This window comes from Homo sapiens, chromosome 3, assembly GCF_000001405.40.
Source record: "Homo sapiens chromosome 3, GRCh38.p14 Primary Assembly".
NCBI classification, from domain to species: Eukaryota; Metazoa; Chordata; class Mammalia; order Primates; family Hominidae; genus Homo; species Homo sapiens.
The window spans coordinates 187,558,823-187,570,981 of NC_000003.12; the positions used below are offsets into that span (position 1 = coordinate 187,558,823).

Consider the following 12,159-nt stretch of genomic DNA (forward strand, 5'->3'; position numbering starts at 1 on the left):
CAAGACTCAACTTTTCTCCAGTGCATATTGTTTAAACCAGCTCAATATTTCCTCACCACCTACAGCTCTTTCTCTGTAGGATGTACACTTCCAAAGATATCATCAGCCATCATCAACCTCTATCTCCACCTCTATAGTCCTTGCACTCCCCACTATGCCCCTATACTATGCACTTAAACATCATACCCAGTTTTGTTGCTTTCTCAAAGTTTCTGTCTTTAAATTCAGTGCAGAAAGATGCTTGGAAAGTAGCGTGTGTGGGTGTTTGTGTGCATGCACACCCATGTATGACATAGGAAGCTCTGTTTGCTTCATAACATAGAACCCATACCTTTTTATACAATGGTGATACTACATTATGTTTATTCAGCACTTTTATTCAGGAAGAGTCTCCCTCGTGAGGAGGTAACCTGAGTATGCAGATGAAAAACATCCTAGAAGGATATCACCTCAGTTTTTAGTGTTTTGTGTTTACCTTTTTCTGTGCATGTTATGTAAGGAAAGTTTCATATGAAAAAATAATGATGCTTTATCTAGGGATGCTACAGATTTTATATTAGAATTCTATGAGTTGGATTTATGTAAGTTGGGTTTTTTTTTTTTTCTTACTTTTTTGGTGTGGAGGGGAGAATACCTCTCTCTCTCTCTCTCTTTCTCTCTCTCTCTCTCTCTCTTTCCTTCTTTCTTTTCTTTCTCTCTCTCTCTCTCTTCTTTCCCCCTCCCTGCCTTCTTCCCTTTCATTCTTTCTGTCTCTTTCTTTTTACAGTTGAGTTTTGAAGCATAAATAAGAGTGTTTCACATTAACACAGAGAAAATCAGTTCAAACAGTGACATCCACATTTTCAAAGACATAGAGGCATAATGTCTGATGAATTTGGGAAAATACAATCAGTTTATTATAACTGGAATGTAAAGTGCAAGGTGGGCACCTCCTTGAACAGTGCTGAATGGGAACAGTTCATCTCGGAACTCTACATCTGCGCTATTATTATGTTATCAAATTGGGCACACACTTTGGACATTTTTCTTATCTGGGTGCTCTTTCAAGTGGAGTCCTGTAGCCTTTGGTGTATGAGCCCTGCTCTATGAAGTGGCTAGGGCACCTCCCCTCACACACTGAGTTACAAATGCTGTCTCCAAGACATCCATTACATGCTCATCCATATGGTTCCAGCTGTTTGTTCCACATCAACTTTTCCTTTGTATCTCCAACTTCTTTCCCATCTCCTTTGTAATTTATTATTCAATTTTGATCTATCTCATAGTTTCCCACTAGCCCCCTTTTTTCTATAACCTGCCTCATTTATATTTTGTAGTGCCTATATAATATTCTACTGAATGAATGTTTCATGGTTTATCTGACTATTGCCTATGGGCGGACTTCTGATAAAAAAGACAACATCCTCTCTGTCCTATCCTCAGTGCCAGCTCATGAGTTATTCTCCACCAGGCAGCCCGGTGGAATCATTACCCTGGACTGTAAACACTCCAAGCCCAGTTGCAGACCAGGACAGAGCCTGCCTCCCAAATCACTTCAGTCTTCCCTTTGCCTCTTTTCCTACTGACACTGCCAGACCGGTCACTGAATTGTTGTTCCTGTATCCGTCTTCCACCAATCCTCTTGCCTAATCTATACTACAGAGTTCTCTTCCTAAAACCCAGCTATTATGATGCCATCTTTTAATCCTTGCACCCCACGAAGTTCTCCTTAATACTAGAACACAAAATAAACACAGACAAAGGAATTTGAGGCTCTCCACTATCTTTCTAGCCTTTCTAGCCTTGTTTTCTATGATATGTACTACAAACCCTTCAGTCCACTTACTACTTTATGATGCCTCTAATACTTCAGGCACTTTTATGTCTCAATGCTTTTGCTCAAGCTGTTCTGTGTACCTGAAGGACTTTACCTGGCCCCTTACCTTTAGCTGTCAAAATCTTATTTCTTAGTCAAAGTCTAGCTCAAATGATGTTTTCATGAAACCTTCCCAGGATGTATTCCTTCTCTCTACTGAAGTTCACATGCACACAGGCATTTTTTGATATCAGATTTTCAGAATTTATAAATGATAATACGTACTGAAAATCTGCTTTATAGGAGGAAAGCTGTTGTGTCTTGAATACTACTCTATTTTATTGGCTAACAAACTCATTTCATAAGGTGTTGGCAGAACACAGAGATGAATGAAACAATTTCATTCTTTTAACTGGGAAACCGGACAGGTGCATTGCACAGTCTCAGAATTGTGGTAAATATCTCAAACATGTTAGATGTCTAAGGAAGCACACAGAAAAGTGTCTCTGGCTATCTGGAGAGGAGAGGGACATCTGGTCAAGGAAAGGAAAGTTCCACAGCATGGACAATGCCTGGGTCATCCTGCAGGATGGCATGGCAAAAGAAAGAGGATGTATGTGTTAGAGCCCCTGTATTTCATTACAAATACAAATAGCGGAGAAAAAAAAGACTTTCATTATGTTGACCAAAAAATTCACAAAGTCAGTAATTTTAGGAAGGAGAGCTTTGTTTCTAAAGGAGGACTATATCCGGCAGGCATGAAGTGAAACCTCCTGCAAATCAGAAATCTGTGCTTCAAGGAGGAGGAATTAGAGGTAGGAATGTATGCTAAACAGGATGGCAGAGTATACATATTCATCAGTATATAGGAGGAGTTTATTAATATTCATGAAGGAGACGTGCATGCACATTAGGTTTACATGTATGAAACATATAACCCATGTTCACTTTGGGGTGGAGACTTAACATTTAAATACATTATAATTAGCTCTTATATGTACAAAGGTAAAGCATGATGCATAGGGCTGCTTTCTGAGCATCTTAAGAAAACCAAAATCAGTCTTCAGCCAGCTGTCAGCTATCAAGGAGAAGTTTGTACACTGGGATAGAAGTCATGTCAGAGCCAAAAAATAGGAGAAGGGCACTGGGTGGTTGGATGAAGTAAGTGAGGGGTTCTTCCAGTCTTTTGTTCTCCCCAGCTTGCTTTTGAGAAAATCTATTAATGATTAGTAATGGAAAGTGAGGGGTGGGTCATGGCAGCAAAGAGAACATGACCAGCCTCTCATCTTGTTATGTCAAGATCTTAAAATTTGTAGGGTCTATTTTAACCAAAGGAGCATCCATTAGTCTGTTGGAGAGGCTTAGGGCTTTCATTTCAGTCCTCAATTATGAGTAACAGAATTTTCAAAGGCAAGGGTGAACTATGTCTCAGAAGTAAACTGGAACCAAGGCGCTGAAGGCCACAAGGAATTACTTCACATTGACTTCACCTTCTCTGTCACTGCAGACTTATTGTGTCTGCTTTCTGGGACACAGTAAAACATGGTCTCCTAGAGCTCCCAGGCTGACACTTCCCTGGTCAAGGGTTGTTTTAGTTATCTATTGCTATGTAACAAATTACTCCAACACTTGGTGGCTTAAAACAACAAGAATGTATTATTTCAAAGTTTCTGTGGGCCAAGTTTCTCTGAGTATCTCTGGCTCAAGGTTTGCAAAGAGGCTGCAGTTAAGTTGTTGTCCACAACTTTGGTCTCTTCTGAAGGTTCAAGTGGGGAGTGGGTTGGGCAAAGGATGAAAAGGACCTGCTTCCAGGTTTGCTCACATTACTGTTGGCAGGCTTCAGATGATTTAATTCCAAACCCAGTCATGTGATTGTTGGCAAGCTTCAGTTCCTCGTGGGCTGTAGGACTGAAACCTCAGTGCCTTGCTAAGCCTTACAGCCCTCTTCATATTATTGCTTATAACATGGCAACTTACTTTCCTCCACATGACTGATCTGAGAAAGAGAGAGACATTTAGTGTTGTAAAGGAATACCTGAGGCTGGGTAATTTATAAAGAAGAGGTTTATTTGGATCACAGGCTGTACAAGACACATGGCTCCAGCATCTACTTCTAGTAAGGGCTTCAGGCTCCTTTCACCCATGACAGAAGGCAAAGGGGAAGCAGCATGTGCAAAGATCACATGGCAAGATAGGAGGCTGGAAAGAAAGTGGGGAGGTGCCAGACTCATTTAAACAACCAACTCTCAGGAACTAATAGAATGATAACTCACTCTCAGGAACTAATAGAATGATAACTCACTCATTACTCTGAGGATGGCACCAAGCCTCTCATGAGTGACCTGCCCCCATGACCCAAACATCTCCCATGAGGCCCCAACTTCATCATTACCAAATTTCAGCATGAGGTTTGTGGGAACAAATGTACAAACTATAACAGACAGAGAGCCCCAGATAGGGCCCCTATGGCAGAAGCCACATTATTTCTGTAATCTAACCTAGGAAGTTACATGGCATAACTTCAGCCATGTGATATCCACTAAATCCAGCTCACACTGAAAGTGAGGGGATTACATAAAGATGTGAACACCAGGAGGTGGGATTATTAAGGGTCATCCTGGAGGCTGTCTATCATGAGGATTAAATCAGACTGAAACTGGAATTTCTTAGGCCCTCAGAAGGGTTCTGATTGGCTCTGCTGGTGTTCAGTGCCTATTCCTGAAGCAATTGACTGTGTCCATGGGTCAGAGTCACATTTTAAAATAGACCTGCTGAGAACCCAATTCTGAACAGAGTGGGAATTTTTCAGGGGAAAGAAGCTGAGCTACTCATTCAAGTTATCCGAGGTTCTCATTGGCCCCTACACAGACATGCACACATGTGCACATGCATAAACACACACACACACACACATACATACATACATACACATTTATACTTCCTGCTGACCAGGTCAAAGAATATATATTAACGTATAAATAAATACATATACACACATTTATACCCGTGACCACCGTGCCTTTTATCTGTTGTACACGTTAGGATTCTGAAAATACCGTTGTTTGAATTAAGCTTTAAAAACTTTGAAAACTCACATTTGAAAGGACTGAGGTCCAGAAAGAGGCCAGACTTTCCCAGAATCACAGAGCAAGTTAGTGACAGGGCATGGAAGAAGTTATGGGTTGGCAGAAGTCTAGTGTTTTATGATGGTGGCTAGAGATGACGGCTGAGACCTCAGGAGTGATTTTTGAGGAGGAGCTGTGATTCGGGTTTACAAGGAAGAATGAGGAGAGAGAAGTGCTGGAAGAATGAAAACATCGGCCGGGCGCGGTGGCTCATGCCTGTAATCTCAGCACTTTGGGAGGTCGAGGCGGACGGATCACTTGAGGTCAGGAATTCAAGACCAGCCTGGCGGACATGGTGAAACCCCGTCTCTACTAAAAAAACACAAAAATTAGCTGGGCATGGGGGAACGAACCTGTAATCCCAGCTACTCGGGAGGCTGAGGCAGGAGAATTGCTTGAACCCAGGAGGCGGAGGTTGCAGTGAGACAAGATCACACCATTCCAGTCCAGACTAGGCAACGAAAGTGAAACTCCATCTCGAGAAGAAAAAATGAACACATGATTTGGTAGCGGAAAGGACAATAAGATGATGCGAAGACTAGGAAACTAGATCAAAGAAAGGTCTGTTTGAAATGAGTGAAACCTGCATTATTTGTTGGTTGAAGGCATAGAGTGGGAGGAGAAAAAGCAACTGAGGGAGCAGGAGACTTAAGAGAGAGAGTGGACAGAGCTAAGTGCTTGGGGAGAGCTGGGCAGGGTAAGGCCAGGAGTCCATGGGGAAGGATACAGGGCACTTCTTCATCAAAAGGAAAAGAAAAGGAGAAAAGAACGGGGAGGAGCTCTGAAAGATTTTCCTAGTGAGCCACAGGAAGCTGAGGAAGCTCAGAGCAGAGAAGATCCCTGCTGGCAAATCAAAGACAAGCTGTGAACTGGGGAAACTGAGGAAATAGGGTGCAGTTTGAGACGTGGAAATGTGGAGAAGAATTTGCACGACTGCTTTGGGAAGCAATCAGACATTAGAAAACAGGAAATAAAAACTTAGTGATGAGTGGCGAGGGCTCAGCTGAGGTTGGAGGCTAGGACTTTGCAGGGAGCTTACTCTTGTCCCTTTCCCAGAACTTCTCTGACTGTCCTGAAACCAGCAACTCAGTGCAGACCCCTGCCCAGTGCTGTGGGATATGGGGATACCTAGATCTTTTCTGCTGCTTTTGCTTAGATCTGGGGAGGCTGATAAATTTGTTAATGGTGGCCAAATGGAGGATATTATGAAGATGGGGACCAGCTGTTCTTCCTCTCCACCAAAGGAAAAAAATCAGGGCCTGTGGAATATGGAGAGAGGAAGAAGAAATGGAATTCAGTAGAGCAGAAAAATATCGCCCAGCTACATTCAGGAAAACAAACTCCTCATCATAACTTTGTTCTAAAGAACAGCAATTAGGTTATAGGATGACATATTTAATTCTTCAATTGGTTACTTCTGTTATGGGCTTAAAAATAAATGAACTTAAGCTATAGCTTGAGCTATTTAAGCAAATGTCAAGGAACACATTTGTGGGACTGTTAAAAAGCAGTATAGCATAATGGTTATTATTTATTATCATGGCCTTTGGAGCCGTACTGTCTGGGTTTGAATCTTGCCTCTTAAAAATTGCATGGCCCTGGGTGAGTCACAGCCCTTTCATGTTCCATTTACTTCATCTCTAAAATGGTGATGACAATATGCCTAACTTACGGGGTTGCGAAAGGCTCTTAGAACACAACCTGATAAACAATATTCCATAAATATTAGCTATTGGCTGTTATCATTTTTTTAAAAACCAGATTTCTTGGTGAGTTTCATAGAAGTACTTGCTTTCAGAGTAGAGGATTCCAAGAGCCCTCGGTCCTATGGCTTTCAAACTGCTCTTCAGTGCTCAAGAGTGAAAGAGACATGCTTCTGGGGTTCCTTTGGGAGTAAAAAGGGAAAAAAGGCTGCTGTGGCTCTTACCCATTCCCCAGCTTCAGTGGGAAGAATAATGAGCCTAAGAATGAAAATAGCTCTGTTCTATCAATTTCACCTACTTTTCAGTTTTCTGTCTATATCTGGAAAGAAGCTTTCAATATTAAACAAAGAAAACGGAACTAATTTAACACATGAAGAGACTGAAGTCTAGAAGGAGAAATGACTTCCCCAAAGTCAAATGCTGACTTTTCAGCAGAGCGAGATCTAGCACCCAGGCCTCCTGCCTCCCCTTCCGGGACTGCTTCTACTACAGCTTCCTATGGGTTCGGGCCCCACCACAAAATGCCTAGAGACACATGGCCACCACCCAGGCTGCATATCACAATTTCATCATTATGCACCATGCCCCGCTCCAAGGTCTTGATCCCAAAAAGACCTTTCATCATGGAACTGTGGGGAAAGAGAGGAATATCCTAAAGTTTTTCCTAAATGTATGTATATGTGTGTATGTATTCCTAAATGCATGATTGTTTTTCTTTCTCAAACAACCTAGCTTATTCACATTTCCTCTAAAGACTTTTTCTAATTCTCCAGACAATTGGCTATCCCTTCCCAGAGCTTCCTGCGGTGCATCTTCTCAGCATAATGTTTTCATGATCATTTTTTCCTGATGAATAAAATATCCTACTTTCAAGTCAATCATCTTTGACTTCCCAGTGCCAACTTCAGAGAATGGCACATAGCAGGCACTGGGCAGATAATGGAGATGAATACATGTTTTAAATCACCAGCTGATATACTAATGTGAAGAATAATTAGTGTTGCTGTTATTATTACAGTGAAGGAGCATAAGATATAACATTTCCTATTTCAATGAGCCACTTGCTCATTTAGGTTGGCTAAGAACTTTTGCAAAACTTTGTTTCTTTTTGAGAATAAGGTGTGAGTCCAATGTGCTGCATAGGGTTTAGTTTTTATTTGTCACATCAAATGCCTGTAGGGTGGGAGGAGGAGTGCAAAGAGAGTGGAAGAGACTGGTTAAGGGCAAGCACTGTCTGCAAAAAGGTTTCTAGAAGACCCTCTAACCCTGCACACATAAACTGGATACTTTTCTTTCTCAGATACAAGGCCTGTGTATGAGCCCAGAGAAACTTCTTCTTGTAAGCACGCTCCACAGCTGACTGATTAGGGGAGACCTTTTAATGAAGGCATTAATAAAAGAAGCTGCAGCTCCAGAGGGGGCCTATACTAATTAGGATAGTGTCGGCCAGGAGAACGCCCACACAGACAGCTCTGTGTCTTTTCTGCAAGGGTAGGGTGCAAGGAGCTGCCAAGTTTTGCTGCCCCTGATGCCCTCTCTTTCCCACCTTAGGGGCCTGTTTGTTAATATCTATTTCCTACACACTCAACCCCCTGAGAATGTGTATGCCAGCCCCGCCCCAGCCAGGACCTGGGGAGGTGGGACCTTTAAACCATCTGGGACACCTTCCTTCCTGCAGAAAGCATTGCAGTGATGCACATTTCCAAGGAAGACAGAGAGACTGCAGTACTTGGCACTCCCAGCCTCTCGGTTTCCCTTGGCTTGGCAGTGAAACTTCTGACTTCCTCCCTTGGTTCCCTGCCCTTCATTTCATAACCCTCCATACTGACCAACATGATGTCACCTGTATCAGTCAGTGTTCTCCAGAGGAAAAACTATATATATGTAGATGGCCAATATGCATATAATGCTTATGTATATATTCCTTGAAATAAATAATTTATATTTATCATTTATTTATAATCATATATGTATGAGTTATTTCAAGGAACTAGCTGATGTAATTGTGAGGACTGGCAAGTTTAAAATTTGTAAGGCAGGCTAGCAGGGTGGAAATTCAGGCAGGACTGGCTGCTGCAGTCTTGAGGGAGAATTTCTTCTTCTGTGGGAAAATTCGGTTTTTTGCTCCTAAAACCTTTCAACTGATTAGATAAGATCCATCCAGTTGGAGAGTATAATCTCTTCTACTTAGAGTCAACTAATGGTATATGTTATCTATGTCTACACAATACCTTCACAGCAACAACTTAAGTTTGTATTTGATTAAATAACTGAGTACAACAACCTAGCCAAGTTGGTGCATAAAACAACCACACCATTCTTTACCTCATTTGAACTTCCCAATTTCTTTTAGCTAAGCAGAGAAGTTAGCATTATCTACATTCCACAGATTCCAATGCTGAGGCTCTTCTGAGTGGTGATTTGTTCACTTGTACACAGCTAGTAAATGTTATTTCTGGATGTAATAATTAAACCACAGGTTTTGACGGTCTTAAATTCTTAAAGTTAGATCATACCACCTTTCTCACATAAAAGTCATTCATTTATGCATTCAGTAATCATGTTGTAGCCCAATCATGCGCTAGGTACTGATTGAGCAAGAGAGACCTGGGGTTCTGACATTTTGGAGCTGACTCTCTGGTGAGGGAGCCCAACACACTGACATTATACACACACATGTGCACACACACACACACAGCTGCTCACAGCATTTGAAAAGCTTCTTTAAAATGATTGGCAAAGTCTGGGAGAAGTAGGATTGTCATCCATAACAGAGAAGCATGGGACTGAGAAGGCAGCTCAGAATATGCAGCAATTGTTTTTCAAAGAGAGATGAGACAAGCTAAATAAACTCAGTTTCAGCGTGTTAAAGAAGAGTCTGAGATCCATGCCTGTGGTGGAGAGGGTGGTGAATCAGGAGTCAAAAAAGCATATGTTGAATTTTTTCCTTTGGCATGAGCGACTGGTGGGAGCTGGGTTGGAGCCAACATGGGGCAGGCCAAGGCTTCAGCCGGAAGTGGACTGGTGGCACAGGGCGGCCAACCAGGCAGGCCACCCTTGGCTTCTGCTCCTGGGCTCTATGTGCTAAATCTCAGGAGGAAGAATGAATCAAGGATTACCCCTTTGGCTGATGGAGACATTTTGTTCACTTCACAAAATCAGTAAAGTATTTTATGTGGTTTCCAGCAAATGCAAAATACATACAGGCATACATTGTTTTGTTGACTTTGCTTTATTGCACTTGACAAATACTGAGTTTTTTACAAATTGAAGGATTGTGGCAACCTTGCATTCACCAAGTAAGTCCACTGGTGCCAGTTTTCCAACAGCATGTGCTTCCTTCATGTCTCTGTGTCACATTTTGGTAATTCTTGCAATACTTCAAACTTTTTCATTATTATCATATCTGTTATGGTGATCTGTGATCAGTGATCCTTGAAGTTAATATTACAACTGTTTGGAGTATCACAAACCACACCATATAAGATGGCAAACTTAATAGATAAATGTGCGTGTTTTGACTGCTCTATGAATTGGCCATTCCCATGTCTCTCTCCCTCTCCTTGGATTTCCCTGTAACTTGAGACAATTAGATCAATTAACAACCCTACAATGGCCTCCAGGTGTTCAAGTGAAAGGAAGAGTCACACATCTCTCACTTTAAATCAAAAGTTAGAAATGACTAAGCTTAGTGAAGAAAGCATGTCAAAAGCCAAGATAAGCTGAAAGCTAAGCCTCTTGTGTCAAATTGGCCTCTAGCCAAATTCTGAATACAAATAAAAAGCTATTGAAGGGGCCAGGGGTGGTGGCTCACGCCTGTAATCCCAGCACTTTGGGAGGCTGGGGTGGGCGGATCACGAGGTCAGGAGATCGAGACCGTCCTGGCTAACATGGTGAAACCCCGTCTCCGCTAAAAAAAAATACAAAAAAATTAGCCGGGTGTGGTGGCGGATGCCTGTAGTCCCGGTTACTCAGGAGGCTGAGGCAGGAGAATGGCGTGAACCCGGGGGGCAGAGGTTGCAGTGAGCCGAGATCCCACCACTGCACTCCAGCCTGCATGACAGAGCGTGAAGATGTGACTGAATTGTTGCAATTCATAGGTCACATGCTGAGCTATTGGGAGTAGATATTTGACACAGGAATTTTGGAGGAGACACAATTCAACCCATAACAATCAATGTCTCTTAAATCCATTTTACCCTGGGAGGTAGGCAAAGCTAAGATTGTTATTCTCATTTATAAGATGGGTAAAATCATCAAGGCTCAGGACCACTGAGTAAGTGACAGATCTGTCCCTGACCTCACTCCATCCCACACTTAATACTGCAAGTTGTACCTTCAGGCTACATTAGGACACACGGAACCCCACTGATGTCCACGGTGTAGGTTCAGTAAGGGTCAAGCCACAGCCTATGGGCTTGTCAAGAAACTGCTGGCTGAGAGAAAATGACTGAATTAATAAAAGCACCTGACTGTGAAGCACTCCTGGAAGGGATTTTAACCTGAAAAGGAATAAGGAATATTGCCAGGTCTGTATCCCATCAGTCTCCAAATACTAGGAAATGGTGCCAGATAGGGGTTGTGAAAAGTTAACTAGATAATGAAAAGGTTAGCTGTACTCTTGGGGAACATTAACATTTATTTGTTGCCATAACTACATAGAATTATCAGCAAAGTTGGTGTAATCCAAAATAGGATCAAAATATTTGAATGAGATTATCTCAGACCAGAAAACCTTCCAAAATTACCTAGATTTTTCTAAAGGGAACAAGAAATGTTTAGCCTTATCATAAACCCAAATTATGGCATGTCTGGTAGAGAACTGATTTGAGCCATAGCTCAGGCATCCAGAGAGCCCTGGAGAAAGCTTAAGGTTTGCAGTCAGAAAATATGGATTTGAATCTCACCCTTGCTCTATCACTTTCTGGTTGGCTTGAAGACAACATGGGCAGTGGGATGTGCTGGGTCTTTTAGGTCAGCTTTTTTTTAAGCCCTTTTTTTGTTGTTGTTGACTTGCCAGAGATTTTTGTGGCTGTTGCATTACTTTAATAAATCTAGGATTGAACCAGGCAATTGATTGGCAAGTACAAACATCACTTGCCAAAAGGAAAAATTCACATTTCCATAGGGGTTGCTGGCATTTCCAGAGCAGTTTCTAGCATTTCCAGAGTTTTTAATTAGACGATGGTAGGCCCCATAGTCTAATAAAACTTGCTCAGAGTAACCCTCTGGACCACTATCCCTCACGGTGACATACATTGTTCAGGCTACAAAGCTTCTCCTAGGACTTAATCTCACTTGAGCCTCACTTCAATCCTGTCTGTGCACTGGGGAGGACAGAGTTTATTACCAGCCTGGACTGTCATGAAAAGACTAAATTTCACGAAACAGCTCATTGATTTTGGGGCCAGGATTTAAATTTGGACCCCTGGCCTCCTAGTTCACCACTCCACATTGCCTTCTGGCTTAGAATTATCAGTAGAAATTCCATCCCAGAACCCTGTGCAAGAGGCAGAGCTAATCCCCAAGTGGAGGA

General features: G+C 42.1%; 2 annotated features.

The window, feature by feature from the left end:
• Positions 8,621–9,604: an enhancer, noted in NCBI's record as "NANOG-H3K4me1 hESC enhancer chr3:187285231-187286214 (GRCh37/hg19 assembly coordinates)". NCBI's record gives its function as "activates a minimal SCP1, AML or CMV promoter by ChIP-STARR-seq in primed H9 embryonic stem cells {active_cell/tissue: H9 hESC(primed)}" and the evidence as "EXISTENCE:reporter gene assay evidence [ECO:0000049][PMID:30033119]".
• Positions 9,605–10,587: an enhancer, noted in NCBI's record as "NANOG-H3K4me1 hESC enhancer chr3:187286215-187287197 (GRCh37/hg19 assembly coordinates)". NCBI's record gives its function as "activates a minimal SCP1, AML or CMV promoter by ChIP-STARR-seq in naive H9 embryonic stem cells {active_cell/tissue: H9 hESC(naive)}" and the evidence as "EXISTENCE:reporter gene assay evidence [ECO:0000049][PMID:30033119]".